Here is a 19,453-nt window from a genome sequence, read left to right on the forward strand (position 1 = left end):
ACTATTTTTATGAGTAAAGAATCAAATTGTACAATATTTAAATGATATGCTATCTTCATAATATGTTTTTCTCATATTTTAATCCCAAAGTAGTAAGTTAGGGGAATATAAGTTAATATCTTATTTTTTGTAGCAAGATGGGCTTCAAAATGTTCTGCTATATTGACTCCTATCAACACGGGCTGATTGGTCTACCTGAAGGAGCATGATCTACCATGATCCATTCCTTCTCTGAACATCTATCATTGATTTATTTAGAACCAGCACCAGGCTGACTGGACCTTTACTACTAGTCAATATGCCTAAGCTTTCTCTCCCCCGATGAAATACAAATTTCAGTAACTGCAAAGACTTTGTCTTACAGTTTGTCAAAATTCTCAGAGCAGGGTCCAGGAGACAGAGCCAAAAAGAGTTACAAAAGAAGTAAAAACTATGGACCCTGATAGGAAAACTAAAACGGGTATCTAAAACAATACAAAAAGCTGATAGGTATCCTTCTCTTTGGTAATGGAATAATTGTTACATCCTAAAAGCTAACAACCCACATAAATCTGACAATTTTTATTTATATTTTAGAGACAGAGTCTGGCTATGTTGTCCAGGCTGTAGTGCAGTGGATATTCACAAGTGCGATCCCACTACTAATCAGCACAGGAATTTTGACCTGTTCCATGTTCAACCTGGACCAGTTCACCCCTCCTTAGGCAATCTGGTGGTCCTTCGCTCATCATATTGATACCAAACTCAGTGTGGACACTCAATCAGCATAGAGCACTACAGCCCAGAATTCCTGGTCTCAAACAATCCTCCTACGTCAGCCTCCCAAATATTATAGCTGGGACTATAGCCACACACCACTGTGCCCGGCCTAACAATTTCTTTAATGGGAATATTTTGCAAAGAGGAGGATTCTTGTTCTACTTTGCAGTTAAAAAAAATAGGAAAACACCCAAAGTAAGGTCGCTGGACAGAATATACATTGTATCTACTCTGGCTCCATGTATTTAAGTAGATAGCATGTTAAATAAACTTTCTGGAGGGAGCTGGAGTTAAGTCTTAAAGCAAGAAAGGATATGGGGAGGAGGGCAGGTGATAGTGCTGGATGAGCCATGAAACAGGAATTAGTTTTAACAATAGCACAAAGTGTATTAAAAATAAACAACCCAGTGCTAAAATGTAGAGCCCTTTGGCATATACAGAGGAAAGAAGATGGAAAGAAAGGAGGAATTGAGTTGATGGAGGGCACTGATGAGCTTGCTGACAGTATGCTGCATCTCAAGCAACTTACTTAAACTTCCCTCATTTTAAATGTCATTGCGTAAAAGTGATCTCCAATGCCCCCTGTCTGCCATGTGTTTTTTCAATCGAGCACTTTTCATAACAAAAGCCTTTAGGATTAGCTGCCTCTTGCATTGGTAGCTGTGAGAAAGAACCTGAAATTATTACCAACTGAAACTGGAGAAAGAGGGCTTTAATGTGGCCTCCTGTGGTGTGGGCTAATGCCAAAAGGGGTTCAGACTTATAATACTAAGGACACATATCTCATAATCCTTTTCCCAAAATTTTCCCCACAGATTGAAAGTCGCAGCTTTTATACTGGGGTGGGGAAAAAACAAGTCAGGTCTGAAAGCGGGACAAAAATAAATCTCTCTCTTCAAAAGTCTGATTAGCATTCTGGATCTAGATCTTGGGTGAGTTTATACTTCTCTTCCACTAATAATTCCTTCCAGTCACGATACTGTCCAGTGGAGATGAAGTTTGAGCAGTTCCATCTTTCCTACCAGATGATTGTGGGAAGTGAATATGCTTTAAATATAATCAGCCTATTATCTAGCTCAAGGAGTAAAGTGTTCTTTTTAATTTGACTATCATCACCCCATAAGAAGCGCATCCTCCATATGCTGAAGTGCGGTAACCTGTGGGCTGCAGCTTTGCTTTTGCACTGCAGATTTTTCAATGTAATTGCATGTAACACTTTATTTATAGTAATGTAAAAGTACTTAAAATCCAATTACATAGCTGGAAAGTGCATATCTCTAAACAGATGCAGAATAATTAAAAAGAAATCCAGTACATATCTATAGAAACTCTTTAGAATTAGCAAAATGACTTATTTCAATATCCTCTGAGCAGCTCCTCTGGTTGAATTGCCAGCCTATATTAGGTACATTAGCCTAATACACATTTCATATGGCTTAATGGGGAATTAAAATGTAGTTTCCTTGCATTTGTTTTTCTTTTTTAGTTTATGACCCAGATAATTCCTGTAGTAGTGATATGTTTCCACGAATTTCCTTTGCCCAGAGATGGTTTGAGTGAGTACAGTTCCTTGCTGGGGCCAACCTTGGAGGTGTTTAGTGGTGGACAGAGGGTAAAAGGATTGTGTTTTCAATGTGGATAAGAAAAGTGTGGCTTTATGAGATGATATTTGCTGACTGCATCAAGCTTCCTATATTTCATATCTAAAAAAATCATAATTGGGAATTCCACCACCCTGGGAAATCCCTGGTCATTATCCACTCATTCTAAGAGCAGATAGGAATACCATGAATAATGGAAATCCATCCAGAGTGCTATTTATACTCTTAATTATTCTTGTATGTACCACCCAAAACAAAAACCAAACACACAAACTGTTTATCAATATAAAAAGTTGATAGGTATATTTGTTTTTGGTAATGATCATTACAGCCTAAAAGCTAACAATCCACATAAATCTAACAGTTTCTTAAAAATGAAACTATTTTGCACATAGGAAGATTCTTGTTCTACATTGCAGTTAAAAAAATTACTCTCAGTTGGCTGAGCACGGTGGCTCATGCCTGTAATCCCAGCACTTTGGGAGGCTGAAGCAGGCAAATCATGAGTTCAGGAGTTCGAGACCAGCCTGGCCAACATGGTGAAACCCTGTGTCTACTAAAAATACAAAAATTAGCCAGGTGTGGTGGTGGGCACCTGTAATCTCAGCTACTCGGGAGGCTGAGGCAGGAGAATTGCCTGAACCCGGGAGACGGAGGTTGCAGTGAGCCGAGATCGCGCCACTGTACTCCAGCCTGGGTGACAGAGTAAGACTCTGTGTTGGGGAAAAAAGCAAAACAAAAAAAAATTACTCTCAGTTACTCTCAGCTAAAACTCCTGGCCTTCATGAAAAATAATCTCTTTGAAAGTTCGTATTAATAACTTCAATATTGCATTAATGTAATTATCAGTCTTTAATGTATGTGGCATAACTGAAAACATTTTCAGTAACAACAATATATTTATTATTTATACCCAGCATGAAGAAGTTGAACTTGCTATGGAAACCAGGAATTTATTCATTATACTCAATTTTCTCTTCATAATAGAAATAATAATCCTAGCATTTTTAAAAACTGCCAACAGTTTCCACATTGTCTAGAAGCTGTTTTTTCTAGATTTACATGTCTTTTTTTTTTTTTTTTTTTTTTTTTTTTTTACCATTCTCATGTTTCTCAGCAGTCTCAACAGAAATTCAGAAATGTTGTTCCCAATAGATATGAAGGTGACTCCAGATCACTTCGTCCCCCACCTCTGCCACATCCCTTAGGTCATTTTCCTTGTAGCTTGATGCCCTCTTGCTCTCTCCTCTGCCTCCTTCCTTATCAAAACAGCTCCCAGAAACAGACCTGGTGTGAGTCATTTTCATGAATATGAATGTCAGTAGCTCTATTATCTTGTTTTCAGGCAAATGAGTTGCAGGTATCAGGAAATGGAAAAAAAAGAGGTGTTTTAAGAAAGTGAAATTTTTATAGTTATAGTAAATCACCCCACAGCTTCACCTTATTAGCCCCAACATAATATTAGTTTATGAGGGAGAAGAAGGAATGGTCATCTTAAATTTATAAATTAAATAAATCCATGTGGGGCTTCATGACCTCTATGATTTTGGTTGTTCACCCATGTGTTTGACAGAACACACTTCCCTTTAGGTTTTGTGACTGTAATCCAGTAATTTGTGACTTTTTATTCACCGATTTCTAATCTGTGCCTTTTCTGTCACTTTCTTTCTTTTCTTCAATTGAGGGACATCCACTCATACTTTTCTGCAACAGTTACTATGAGACTGAATGAAGGAGGATGAATGCAGAAATGAAAACTTAAGACAAAAGAAACTGTTTTAAAGAAAGGGTCAGGGGGCTCCTTCCTTCTAGGGAGCAAGGGCCTTGAGCTTCCACAGCCCTTTGTATTTATTGGGCAGAAAGAGCAGGGAGGAGGAGCTAACAACTGGTCAGCTGCTTGATTGATCACAGGCTCACATTATTGCTAACAGGCTTCAGATGTGCCTAATCACAAGAAACACTGCGCCTGGGGCGCGACTGCCCTCAGCATTCCCTCTGGGTGGCAGACGCAGTTTGTCAGTTTGCTAACAACCTGCTTTCATGAGAACAGTTTGCTGTTTACTCATATAGCCTCCAGTGGTACACTGAGTTGGTCACGACTCTCATTCTTTCGGCCTCCAACACTTTTCTATTCTCTGTTTCTTCCTTTCTTATTTTGCCAATTGCATTCTTCTGATGCTTTATTTCAAAAAGATGACTATACCTATTGCTCCTGTTGACCACCATTATCATTATATAAGAGATGATTTGCAAAATGGTGCACTAGCCACACGGTTTATGTCACCTGCTCCCTATTCCAGATGAAGAAGTCTAATCACAGGGGGTGAGTGACTTAAGTAAGGTCACATGGCAAGTGGCAGGTGGCCAGCAGCTTTTTCTCTCACCACCCAGGAGCTGTTAATCCATTTCTCAGTTGGCTGGACCAGCATGCTCCTGGGCAGAAAAGGCATAAGAAGGATGGATGGCCATGCCAAAGCAAAGACCAAGGTTCATGTGGAAGGGAGCCCTCTTCTGTAGCGATGGTCACCTGGGTCAGGCAGAACTCTTATTCTGAACAGTTTGACAATGAAAATTCCATAAGAGGGTGGGGAGCAAGACAGCTGACTAGAAGCAGCCACAATCGAGGCTCCTGTCAAAAAGAACCATAATAGCATGTGAATCCTGCACCAACAACCTAGGTATCCAGGTTCTCTCATCAGAACTGACTAGGCAGCTGGCATGATCCACAGAGAGGAAGGAAGAGCAGTGTGGTGCAGCAGCCCACCTGAGAGCCACAGGGAGCAGGGGAACCCCAGCACCCCCGCCAAAGGAGGCAGTGAGTGAGTGTGCCACCCCCTGGGGAAACCGTGCTTTTTCCATGGAACTGTGCGCCCCATGGAGCTGAAGACCCACTTACGAACCCATGCCACTGGGGCCTAGGGTCCCAACTCTGGAGCCGTGCAGATTCTCAACTGCCTCTCAGCTAGAATCTACTCAAGCCTACCAAGTCTTCAGGGAGAGGGGCAACCAGCACCACAGCTGCAGCTGCCTCCTGTCTGAGCTGTTTGAGCTCCTTGTGGGCGGAGAAGCAGCCAGCACTGGGACTCATAACGGCCTAATACGCTAAGCTTCCTGGGTGGGGGAAGGGCGGCATCCATCTCTATAGCTCCAAGCCATGCTTTTCCCCTGATGGAGCCAAGGAGGCTGGATGGCTTGGTCCCAAGTGGTGTCCCCCACAGCCCAACACACTGGCTGTGGCAGACTGCAGCCAGAGCGCCTCTTCAGGCCTGACTCTGACTCATCCAACCTCACTGGTTGGGGCCTCCCTGCAGGAAACTGAACAACTCCAGCCAGAGTCTCAGGGACAGAACCGTGATCTCTCTGGGCCTGAGCCCCTAGGGGGAGGAGTGGCCACAGTCTCTGCAGACCAGCAGATTTAGCCTTTCCTGATGGTAGTTCTGAGGAATCCAGGCAGCCCAAATGATTCTGTTTTCCCCAAGTGAAGCACACCCCCTCCACCAAGGGACAAAGTGCTTTGTTAAATGGGTCCTGTTCCCTGTGCCACCCAACTGGGTGAGACCCTCCAACAGGGATTGTCAGACACCCTATACAGGAGCGATCCTACTGGCATCAGGTTGGTGACCCTCGAGGTCAGAGATCACAGAAGAAGGAGCAGGCACCCATCTTTGCTGTTCTCTAGCCTCCTTGAGTGACATCTCTAGGTACAGAAGTGAACTAGATGAACAGGGCCGGATGTGAACCCCCAGCAAACCGCAGCGGCCTGAGAGAAGAGGGACCTGACCACTGAAAGAAAAACAAACAGAAAGCAACAACAACATCAACAACAAAAAAAGTGTACACAAAAACCCCATCCAAGGGTCAGGAGCCTCAAAGATCAAAACTTGACAAACTTACGAAGATGAGAAAGAATCAACAAAAAAAAACACTGAAAATTCAAAAGGCCAGAGGCCTCTTCTCCTCCAAATGATTGAAACGCCTCTCCAGCAAGGGCACAGAACTGGACAGAGGATGAGATGGACAAAGTAACAGAAGTAGGCTTCAGAAGATGGGTAATAAACTCTGCTGAGCTAAGGCAGCATGTTCTAACCCAATGCAAAGAAGCTAAGAACCTTGATAAAAGGTTACAGGAGCTGCTAATTAGAATAATCAGTTTAGAGAGGAACAAAAATGACCTGAAGGAGTTAAAAAACAAAGCATGAGAACTTCCTGAAGCATACACAAGTATCAATAGCCAAAACGACCAAGAGGAAGAAAGGATATCACAGTCTGAAGACCACCTTGCTGAAATAAGGCATGCAGACAAGATTAGAGAAAAAGGAATTAAAAGGAATGAACAAAGCCTCCAAGAAATATGGGACTACATAGAAAGACTGAACCTATGATTGACTGGAGTACCTGAAGGAGATGAGGAGAATGGAAACAAGACGGAAAACACACTCAGGATATTATCCAGGAGAATTTCCCCGATCTAGCAAGACAGGCCAACATGCAAATTCAGGAAATACAGATAACACCACTAGCATACTCCAAGAGAAGATCAACCCCAAGACATGTAATCATCAGATTCTACAAGGTGAAAATGAAGGAAAAATTGTTAAAGGCAGCCAGAGATAAAGGCCAGGTCACCTAATAAAAAGGGAAACCCATTGGACTTACAGTGGACCTTTCAGCAGAAACCCTTCAAGCCAGAAGAGATTGGGGGCCAATATTTGACATTCATACAGAAAAGAATTTTTAACCCAGAATTTCATATCCAGCAAAACTAAGCTTCATAAGTGAAGGAGAAATAAAATCCTTTCCGGACAAGCAAATGCTGAGTGATTTCATCACCACAAGGCCTGCCTTGCAGGAGCTCCTGAAGGAAGAACTAAATATGGAAAGGAAAAACCAGTACCAGCCACTGCAAAAACATACCAAAATAGAAAGACCAATGACACTATGAAGAAACTGCATCAACTAGTGTGTAAAATAACCAGATAGCATCATGATGACAGGTTCAAATTCACACATAACAATACTAACCTTAAATGTAAATTGGCTAAATGCCCCAATTAAAAGACACAGTCTGGCAAATTGGATAAAGTGAAGACCCATCAGTGTGCTGCATTCAAGAGACTCAACTTACATGCAAAGACACACATAGGCTCAAAATAAAGGAATGGAGGAAAATTTTCCAAGCAAACAGGAAAGCAAAATAAATGCAAGGGTTTCAATCTTAGTCTCTGACAAAACAGACTTTAAAACAACAAAGATCAAAAAAGACAATGAAGGGCATTACATAATGGTAAAGGGATAAATTCAACAATAGAGCTAACTATCCTAAATATATATGCACTTAATACAGAAGCACCCAGATTCATAAAACAAGTTCTTAGAAATCTACAAAGAGACAGAAAATTAACAAGGATATTCAGGACTTGAACTCAGCTCTGGATCAAGTGGACCCAATAGACATCTACAGAACTTTCCATCCAAAATCAAGAGAATATACATTCTTCTCAGTGCCACATGCCACTTATTCTAAAATCGACCATATAATTGGAAGTAAAACACTCCTCAGCAAATGCAAAAGAACTGAAGTCATAACAGTCTCTCAGACCACACTGCAATCAAATTAGAACTCAGGATTAAGAAACTCACTCAAAACCACACAATTACATAGAAATTGAATGACCTACTTCTGAATGACCCCTGGGTAAATAATGAAATTAAGGAAGAAATCAAGAATTTCTTTGAAACCAATGAGAACAAAGACACAACATACCAGAATCTCTGGGACACAGCTAAAACAGTGTGAAGACAGAAATTTATAGCACTAAATGCCCACATCAAAAAGCTAGAAAGATTTCAAATCAACACCCTAACATCAGAATTAAAAGAGCTAGAGAAGCAAGAGCAAACTAATCCAAAAGCTAGCAGAAAACAAGAAATAATTAAGATCAGAGAAGAACTGAAAGAGAGACATGAAAAACTCTCCAAAAAAAAAAAATCAATGAATCCAGGAGCTGGTTTTTTGAAAAAATAAATAAATAAATAAAACTAAAAAACAAAATAGATAAACTGCTAGCTAGAATAATAAAGAAGAAAAAGAAAGAAGAATCAAATAGACACAATAAAAATGATAAAGGGGATATCACCACTGACCCCAGAGAAATAAAAGCTACCATCAGAGAATACTATAAACACTTCTACACTAATAAACTAGAAATCTAGAAGAAATGGATAAATTGTTGGACACATACACCCTCCCAAGACTATACCAGGAAGAAGTCAAATCCCTGAATAGACCAATAACAAGTTCTGAAATTGAGGCAGTAATTAATAGCCTACCAGTCCAAAAAAGCCCAAGACCAGACGGAATCACAGCTGAATTCTACCAAAAATACAAAGAGTAGCTGGCATCATGCCTTTTGAAATTATTCCAAACAATTGAAATGGAGAGACTCCTCCCTAACTCATTTTATGAAGCCAGCATCATCCTGATATCAAAACCGGGAGGAGACACAACAAAAAAGAAAACTTCAGGCCAATATCCCTGATGAACATTGATGCAAAAATCCTCAATACTGGCAAACCAAATCCAGCAGCACATCAAAAAACTGGTCCACCATGATCAAGTCAGCTTCATCCCTGAGATGCAAGGTTGGTTCAACATATGCAAATCAATAAATGTAATCCATCACATAAACAGAACCAAAGACAAAACCACATGATTATCACAATATATGCAGAAAAGGCCTGTGATAAAATTCAACATCCCTTCATGTTAAAATCTCTCAGTAAACTCGGTATTGATGGAACATACCTCAAAATAATAAGAGCTATTTATGACCAACCCACACCCAATATCATATTGAATGGTCAAAAGATGGAAGCATTCGCTTTGAAAAGTGGTACAGACAAGGACGCCTCTCTCATCACTCCTATTCAACATAGTATTGGAAGTTCTGACCAGGGCAATCAGGAAAGATAAATAAATAAAGGGTATTCAAATAGGCAGAGAGGAAGTCAAATTGTCTCTGTTTGCAGACAACATGATTCTCTATTTAGAAAATCCCATTGTCTCAGCCCCAAAACTCATTAAGCTGTTAAGCAACTTCAGCAAAGTCTTGGGATACAAAATCAATGTTCAAAAATCACAAGCATTACTTCACACCAACAATAGACAAGCAAAGAGTCAAATCATGAATGAACTCCTATCCACAATCACTACAAAAGGAATAAAATACCTAGGAATACAGCCAACAAGGGATGTGAAGAAACTCTTCAAGGAGAACTACAAAGCACTGCTCAAGGAAATAAGAGAGGACACAAACAAATGGAAAAACATTCCATCCTCATGCTTAGGAAGAATCAATATCGTGAAAATGACCATACTGCCCAAAGTAATTTATAGATTTAATGCTATTTCCATCAAACTACCACTGACATTCTTCACGGAATTAGAAAAAACTACTTTAAATTTCATATGGAATCAACGAAGACCCCATATAGCCAAGGCAATCCTAAGCAAAAAGAACAAAGCTGGAGATATCACACTACCTGACTTCAAACTATACTGCAAGGCTACAGTAATCAAAACAGCATGGTACTGGTATGAAAATAGACATACAGACCAATGGAACAGAACAGAGACTTCAGAAATAACACCACATATCTACAACCATCTGGTCTTCTACAAACCTGACAAAAACAAGCAATGGAGAAAGGATCTCCTATTCAATAAATGGTGCTGGGAAAACTGGCTAGCCATATGCAGAAAACTGAAACTGGACCCCTTCCTTACACCTTATACAAAAATTAACTCATGATGGATTAAAGACTTAAATGTAAGACCCAAAACCATAAAAACCCTAGAAGAAAATCTAGGCAATACCATTCAGGACATAGGCATGGGAAAATACCTTATGACTAAAACACCAAAAGCAATTTCAACAAAAGCCAAAACTGACAAATGGGATCTAATTAAAGAGCTTCTGCACAGCAAAAGAAACTATCATCAGAATGAACAGGCAACCTAGAGAATGGGGGAAAATTTTTGCAATCTATCCATCTGACAAAGGTCTAAAATCCAGAATTTACAAGGTAGTTAAATTTACAAGAAAAAACCAACCCCATCAAAAAGTGGGCAAAGGATACAAACAGACACTTCTCAAAAGAAGACATTTATGTGGCTAGCAAACATATGAAAAAGAGCTCACCACCACTGATCATTAAAGAAATGCAAATCAAAGCCACAATGAGATACCATCTCACGGCAGTCAGAATGGTGATTATTAAAAAGTCAAGTAACAACATATTTTGGTGAGGCTGTGGAGAAATATGAACACTTTTACACTGTTGGTGGGAATGTAAATTAGTTCAACCATTGTGGAAGACAGTATGGTGATTGCTCTGGGCTCTAGAACCAGAAATACCATTTGATCCAGCAATCCCATTACTGGGCATATACCCAAAGGATTATAAATCATTCTGCTATAAAGACACATGCACACATATATTTATTGCAGGACTGTTCACAATAGCAAAGATTTGGAACCAACCCAAATGCCCATCAAGGATAGACTGCATAAAGAAAATGCAGTACACAGACAGCATGGAATACTATGCAGCCATGTAAAGGAATGATATCATGTCCTTTTTAGGGATGTGGATGAAGCTGGAAGCCATCATTCTAAGCAAACTAACACAGGAACAGAAAACCAAACACCACATGTTCTCACTCATAAGTGGGAGTAGAACAATGAGAACACATGGACACAGGGAGGGGAACAACACACACCAGGGCCTGTTAGGGGGTGGAGGGTGAGGGGAGGGAACTTAGAGGTCAATAGGTGCAGCAAACCACCAAGGCACACATATACCTATGTAACAAATCTGCACATTCTGTACATGTACTCCAGAACTTAAAGTTGAAGGAAAAGAAAAGAAAATTCCCCAAGCAAACAGTCAGAAGAAATTGTTCATCTGGTCTTAGTCATTTTCCAAGCATTTACCAGGTGTCTACTCTTGCTGGGCACCTTTAACTGTAGGGCTAGGGAAAGAATTTGTGATACAGAGATGAATATGAGATCACCACTGTCACTGAGGAGCTCACTGCATGGCAGGACAAACAGAGTAGTGTGGGCCATGGCATTAGAATGCCATAGTGCTGAGATGCAGAGAGGGGAAATGGATTAACTCCTTTGTCTAAGGGATTTTCAACACTCTCACAGAAGAGGTGAGATTTAGTCTGAGTAGTGAAAGATTAGAACAGTTGACCAGAAAGAAAAGTGTAGAAAAAAATATTCTATGCAGAGGGAACGGCATGCATCAATACTCCATGTATGAAAAGGCACAATGCTTTCTGGAAACCATCAAAGGTGTGGCTTGTATGTTGAAGAGTTGGGAGATTGCTGGGTGATAAGCCTGGAAAGAAAGGTTGGGAAAATTTTTAAAGTGAGTGGCACAATAATGAGTTTTATTTTCACCTTCTAGGTTATAGCAGTTTTTATTCAAGGAAACAGAATTGCCTAATCTGCATTTTATGATCTAAAGACAGGGTGTAAGATACGTAGAAGAGAGATGAATCCCAAAGTAGGGAGACAAGTTAGAGAACTAGTGCTAAAGGCCAGGCAGAACTGCCAAAAACCTTAACTAGGACAGTAGCCATGGAAATGGAGGAAAAGAAAAAGATAATAATGGCAAATTCAAGAGAAAAATATTATCTTAATTAAATCCTATGCTGTCTACTATCTAGTCTTTGGCACTTTCTCTAAAGAAGATGTTGAAATCAATAAGAGTAAAAATCAGGTAGTAGAAGCTGGAATCAGAGGTCCTGCAAGTCCAAAACCTTGGCCTCCCTGCTGACACTATAAATGGTTTGAATCCTGCCTTTGTCCTCTGAGCCCAGGAAGGGAGGGTGAGAGACTAGTGACAGTAGAAAGAGACCATGCTTGCACTAGGAGAACTTTTACATCTAAGTCAAAGTGAATAAAGGCTGGAACAGTCTACCACACAATATCGTGGACTGTCTCCCTAGAGGCCTTTCAAAACAATTTCTTGGAAGGTTTAGGCTGGATTCCGTGAAGCTAAGGCACATCTGGCATAATGTGCCCAAATCATTCGAAGCTCCAAATGGAAATAACGTGCTACCCCAGGCTGTGCCAGTCAGAGCCCATAAAATCTCCATGCTTGTTAATTTCTCTGAGTGTGCATATTGCACTAAGAGTGGCTCATCCAGTAAGACCAGAGGAAAAATCAGCAAGGGAATGGACATTAGGGAATGGACATGAATGAGAGCAAAAGCACTGGAACTCTGACCTGAGGGACGGTGCCAGGAAGTCAACTTGGAAAATGATGGAGGAACTGAGTGTTGGAATCAAGCAGAGGAAACACTTGCTGATATTCAGTGATGAAACTCAACCTTTTGTTTCCCCTCTGTCCTTTTTCAACTTGCAAACATTTTCCAATACTTTCTTCCCAGAGGAGAGTTTAAGAAAAAAAAAGAAAAAAAAGGTCCCTTACTGTTCTCCTTTTCAAAGCCCCCATTTATGACCATAGACTGCCAGCATTCCTAAAAATCTAAGTCTCTTCTCTCCAGAAAAGTCATCTGGATACAGGACTGCATCTGGAATGGGGAGCTAGAACAGGCAGAGGAGTGGGGCACATATACCTTCTTCAGAGGGGAAAGGAGGCAGGGGTTTATTTCAAAGATGGAGAGATGGTTTAGCCTGTCTTCCCTACCACAGCCAAACAGCTGTACTGACCCTGACCCCATCTCTTCCCAAAATGAGCCACAGAATCAAAGAGAGTATGTTGGCATCAGGATCTTGAGGGGAGAGAGTCTTGAGCCTGTAACAATAGAAAAATAGACAGTCCATCCTCACACTCTCTTTCCAAAATTAGAACCTTCTCTGTCTTCTGTAACATATCGTGATCTAAAATGTGTATTCCTATCCTGTCTGGCAGCTGTTCTACTCAGAAACCCCATTCTAGGTAAGTGGAGATCTTTCTGGTTCCTGTTATCTTGGAAATATAATTCCCAACCCTTGTCCTCCTCCTACTCCACACTTGACATAGCTCAGGATGTCATCAGAAACATCTTCTTTGAAAGTAGTAAGCAAATGGGAGTTCAACCTGCTCATGTGTGAAAATGCTGGTGCGTCTGGTTTACCCAGCTGGTGACGCCGTGGTCTTCTACTGTCCAACAGTGGTATCCACAGTACATCAGCCTCAATTTCTTTTTAGGACTGTGATGCTCTGAGTTGCAGTTCAGGAACATCTCCCCTAGGAATCCAAACTACTACACCCTGAAGTTTCATCTTTGTATGCAATTAGTTACTAAGTACACTGAATCAAATGCTACTTCTAGATTTGGGAGGCTCCCACTGTCCACAAGGGTCACCACTACGAGTCTGAATTATAAGGGACTTATGCACAGGGCCTTTCCTGAGTCTTCACTCTCTATGCCATTGCTTTACCCCAACATCGACACATTTGTAAAAACAGGGTAGCCTCAGCAGGAAAAGAAAGAGCTCAGAGTTTTGTGGAAGAAGAAAAAGAATTGGGGGTACAGGGCTGTTGTTAAGTTTATAACTCCTGTTCCTCAGTGACGTCTTTCGTTCTACAGGTCTAGCTCCATTCTCTCTCCTTGTTGCCTTCTCAGCTCAGTGCACATCCCTTTGTCCCTATGCCAATGTGGAGTCTTTGGAAACTGCCCTGACTTAAGAAACTCTAGAGTTAGCTTCAGTTATTGTCAGTGAAGCTTGATTATTAAGGAATTGAGAAGAAAGCAAGCCAGTCCACTGGTAATTACCTTAAATCTCTTCCAAGGAAAATAACCAAGAAGGTCTTAATGTTCCCCTCTACTTAATTAAACTTTAGACAGGTTTCTTCCAGACTGTACATCATTGACCTCCCTTTTCTTAGAGCATTTACTTGTGGGGGCGGGGGTGGGGAGGCACGCAGGGACTTGTAACAAGTTTTTTATCTGCCCCTTTGAGATGTAAATCATCTCTAGGCATCTTACCAGTTTTACATCCCAGGAATGTCTTTCAAGGGTAAGGAAGCCATCTCTTTGATAAGTAACCATTAAGGAAAATAATGCCCCTATTCCCAAAGTTAGGTAGGAACCTAACTTTGACAAACACCAAGTGGCAAACACAGAAGGCCAAATCTCACTGACCAACCTTCCCCCAACATTCTCCAAGATTTTTTCACTAGTTCATCTTGGTACACTTATGCTCCCCTTAATAATGGGAAGTGTGTCATTAGGCATCTTCAAACATCATAACATGCACTTACACAAACCTAGACAGCATAGCCTACTACACAGCTAGGCTACAAACCCATACAGTATGTCACTTTACTGAATACTGTAGGCAATTATGACACAATGGTATTTGCACATCTAAACAAATCTAAATATAGAAAATGTTCAGTAAAAAGGATGTGGAGAAATAGGAACACTTTTACACTGTTGGTGGGACTGTAAACTAGTTCAACCATTGTGGAAGTCAGTGTGGCGATTCCTCAGGGATCTGGAACTAGAAATACTATTTGACCCAGCCATCCCATTACTGGGTATATACCCAAAGGATTATAAATCATGCTGCTATAAAGACACATGCACACGTATGTTTATTGCGGCACTATTCACAATAGCAAAGACTTGGAACCAACCCAAATGTCCAACAATGATAGACTGGATTAAGAAAACGTGGCACATATACACCATGGAATACTATGCAGCCATAAAAAAGGGTGAGTTCATGTCCTTTGTAGGCACATGGATGAAGCTGGAAACCATCATTCTCAGCAAACTATCACAAGGACAAAAAAGCAAACACCGCATGTTCTCACTCATAGGTGGGAATTGAACAATGAGAACACATGGACACGGGAAGGGGAACATCACACACTGGGGACTGTTGTGGGGTGGGGGGAAGGGGGAGGGATAGCATTAGGAGATATACCTAATGCTAAATGATGAGTTAATGGATGCAGCACACCAACATGGCACATGTATACATATGTGACAAACCTGCACGTTGTGCACATGTACCCTAAAACTCAAAGTATAATAAAAAAAAAAATGACAAAATCTTATGGGACCACTGTCGTATATGCAGTCTGTCATTGACCGAAATGTCATTATACAGCACATGACTATACTTAAAACCACTCTTGCCTTTTGTTTCAGGGAGAGTTGGGTTCAGTCTCTTTCCTTCATTGGAATAGTCTTCACCCCATTCTAATAATCTTTCTGGGGTTTTTTTTTTTGTTTTTTTTGAGGTGGAGTTTCGCTCTGTCATCCAGGCTAGAGTACAGTGATGCAATCTCAGCTCACTGCAAACTCTGCCTTCCAGGTTCAAGCGATTCTCCTACCTCAGCCTCCCAAGTAGCTGGGATTACAGGCATGTGCCACCACACCCAGCTAATTTTTGTATTTTTAGCAGAGAGGGGTTTCACCATGTTGGCCAGGCTGGTCTTGAACTCCTGACCTCTGGCATGAGCCACCACACTGGGCCACAATAATCTTAAATAATTTTTTCCTTCCCTGCTTAACTGAAATTTTTCTCTTACAGAACCCAGAATTCCAAACTTGGATATCTGTTTCAACTTAATTCTCTGTATTGTCAATTCAAAAAGAGTAATTGTTGGATACACATCATTATTGATTTGTCAAAACCTGTAGAATATACAATACTAAGAGTGAACCTTAAGGCAAACCATGGACTTTGAATGATAATAACATGTCAGTGTAAGTTCTTCAATCATAACAAATATACTCCACTGGGACAGGATGTTGATAATGGGAGAAGGCTGTACGTATGTGTGGGTGGGAGTTATGTGAAAACTCTATGTACTTTCTGCTTAATTTTCCTGTGACTCTAACCAAAAAAATAAAGTCTAATATTTTTAAACATTTCATTGTGCCGTTTAAACTTGTGTGACATTTTAAAATTTTTATGTCCTCCTATCTGATTCTTACATTACCTTCAATAGATGCCTTGTGTGCCTTTAGAGAGAGAGATTGGAGCAGAATTCCTTAAACCTCTCAATGACAATCCAAAGCTGGAATCCAGTGGATCTGTCTCTGAATATTGTGACTAGAAAAAAACTGCATTTAAAACAGAAAGCTGGTAGAAAGCGAGACATTAAGTTTCACAAGCCCTGAAGGTGGGCTGGGGAAACTTTCTAATAAACAAGACTGTGTCCCGGTTCCCTACAGCGTTAAGCAGAGAGGATTGACGTTCATTTCAATCAACATATGTTGTAATATGTGAAAATATCTTAGACGTGGAGTAAACATTTACAGGTTTGCCTTAAATATGTGACCCCTATTCCAATAACCTTTCTGTTGTTTGTTTGTTTTCTAGATGGAGTTTTGCTCTGTCGCCCCGGCTGGAGTGCAGTGAGGCAATCTCAGCTCACGCAACCTCTGCCTCCCAGGTTCAAAGTGATTCTTTTTTAAATGACTGTTATTTTAACTAAGATTTTAAAAATGTATACTATGTAGCAATGTTTAATTTCTTATCACAGGACCTATCTTCCTTTACCTTCTGATTTGATTACATTTATTTTTCTACTCCAACTTTCAGTGCATCAGGGTTTAGTTTTCCTGAATTAACTACTATGAAATTGATGGCTCTCTCTCACTGGTCTGCATACAGCTACCTAAGTCCAGGTAGAATAAGACTGATCACTCCTTGGTAAGCTCCTTTGCTCATTAGCAGACCCCTATTACCCTTCTGTAGAACAGAGAATCCCACGTGCAGTTTCCTTTTTTATTTACGTAGCTCGTGTGCCGTTTTAAAATTTTTGTCCTCCTATCTGATTTGCCACTGCAAATTGCACACTACTAAATGTTTCCTAAGGAAAAGGAGGTTATGCAACAGAAAATTGGATCCCTACAAGTTATTAAATCCTTAGTGGTCACTTTGCTTTCATCATTTCACCTTTAAATAAAGGCTGTAACATTTACAAGCCACTATGTGACTTGCACGCGTAAGAACACTGCCTGGCTATTTACAGTACATTGCCTCGCGAGATGGGGGGTGATTCCCTCTCGCATTAAAATGCTCAAAAGCAATCAGCTGTGCTGCCTATCATACAATCCAAGTAAGATCATAAAGGAAAATAAGAATTACGTTCAAATTGTATCAAATTGTGTCCTACATAGAAGGATGACTGTGTTCACGTAAACAAAAATATTTTGGTAGATGAATTACTTGATTTCTAGACTTTATCTTAAAATTCATAGACTGCATTTGCTTAAAAAGGCAGGGGGAGTATTGAAAATTTTGTAAAATTCATAATGGCTCTATAAAGAGAAGTTATGATTCAGATGAATTTTAATTTCTTTCAGGCTAATCACAAAAGTTCAGTTAATTAACACCAAAATAGCTTTTTTCACTCTCATAGTAAATATACGAAAATTTTACCTTGTACGGCATTTTTAACAGCATAGATTTTTATTTGCAAACTCAAGATCCACGGAGAGGCAATCCTGTTAAACTCATTTTGACCACAGAAATTAATCCATTCTACAGTATTGCTCATAGTATTTAAAGGGCAGGGAGACCAAACACTGCCTGTCAAAATCCTGCACATGCCTGATGCTAAGCTGCCATCTGTGTCCTCAAGCCTTAGTGAAGTGTCACCACAGCCATTGGCCCAATGCTAAGTTCTGTGGCAGTACTTAAACTACTGTGTTTCGTACTATAACTACCTATATCATTTTGTTTTCTCCAAACACACAACCACATGTTTAACTGAAGGTTCTTTGAAATCAGACTGTGGGTCTAAATTTTCTAAGTTATAGCACCTAGTTCAGAGACCTATGCACAGTAGACTCTTGGAGAATGAATAAATCATTGCACATTTCAGGAAACCACTAATACATGGTATTAAACTATATTACCACTAAAGTATCCTATTTCCCAATTTCTGATTTGCTCTTCTACAAAACTCAGCATACATACACATAACAAATAAACACACATTTAAAGCCATTTCCCCTTGTTCTTCATCCTCTTTTTTAATCCACTGCAAAACTGACCCTAAAGATGGCAGAAAACACCAGTATACCCAGTCCAAAACTTAGCCAGATCTACAGAGGAATACACTCCTAGCTTGTCCCCTTGTTACTGAGTTCATATATACTCACTATGTCCCAGGCAATTTCCTTGAATAGAAACACAGTGGTGGGCAAAGCCGACTTGGCACCTGCCTTATGGTGTCTGCAATCCACTTAGGGAGATAGACACTAAGTAAACGAATAAATACCAATATGACTACCATTTGGGTAAATGAAAAGAAAATGACACTAAGAGAAATTTATGTTAGAGAAGACTCGCTTTAGAATGAGTGGTCTGGAAAAACCTCTGAAGTATTATTCAAGTTGACATTCAAAGGGTATGCAATAGCTAGTAAGGAAAAGAGAATTTTACACACAAAAAAAACAGAGACGTAGGGAAGAATGGGTGTACTTCAGGCACTGAAATTTAGTGGGAGATGGAGAGAGAATAGCATTTCTGAATATTGGGAAGAAAAGGCCAGAAGCTGATTATACTAAGCCATAGACACCATGGTGAGGCGTTTGAAGAAAGTTAAGTCTGGCTTGTGTGTGGAGAATGGATTAGAATGGGAGCAAAATTGGAAGCGGGACCATTTAGGGCCAGTGTAGTAGTCCACGTAAGAAATAAAAGAGGTGGACCACAATGCCAGTGGGGGACATAAAGAAAAGTAGACAGGTTTAAGATGTATTTTGAAGAAAAAAGTCTCTAAGAGTTGATGATGGATTGAATATATGAGATGAGGAAAGGGAAGAACCAAGACTGATTCTCAGATTTCAGACTAGCATCTGGATGAATGGAGATGCCATTTAATGACAGAGGATCACTGGAAAACAGATTAACAACATATACGTTCTATTCCAACAATCACTTATTAAAATGAAACTAATAGATGCTGGTTTTGGCATATGTTTGAAGAACATTTGCCTACACTATAAAAAGAAACCCCTGGGGTTTCTGATCAGATGGCATATTGTTACAAGTTGCTGTGTCCACCCTAAACCCAAATTGGCTGCCTCTCAGAATTGGAGA

General features: G+C 40.2%; 1 pseudogene, besides 1 other annotated feature; it reads right to left on the bottom strand.

Moving 5' to 3' along the window:
- On the bottom strand, nt 575–868 carry RN7SL700P (RNA, 7SL, cytoplasmic 700, pseudogene; annotated as a pseudogene).
- Nucleotides 14,028–14,709: an enhancer, noted in NCBI's record as "OCT4-NANOG hESC enhancer chr13:48046529-48047210 (GRCh37/hg19 assembly coordinates)". NCBI's record gives its function as "activates a minimal SCP1, AML or CMV promoter by ChIP-STARR-seq in naive H9 embryonic stem cells {active_cell/tissue: H9 hESC(naive)}" and the evidence as "EXISTENCE:reporter gene assay evidence [ECO:0000049][PMID:30033119]".

This window comes from Homo sapiens, chromosome 13 (genome assembly GCF_000001405.40).
Source record: "Homo sapiens chromosome 13, GRCh38.p14 Primary Assembly".
Lineage (NCBI taxonomy): Eukaryota > Metazoa > Chordata > Mammalia > Primates > Hominidae > Homo > Homo sapiens.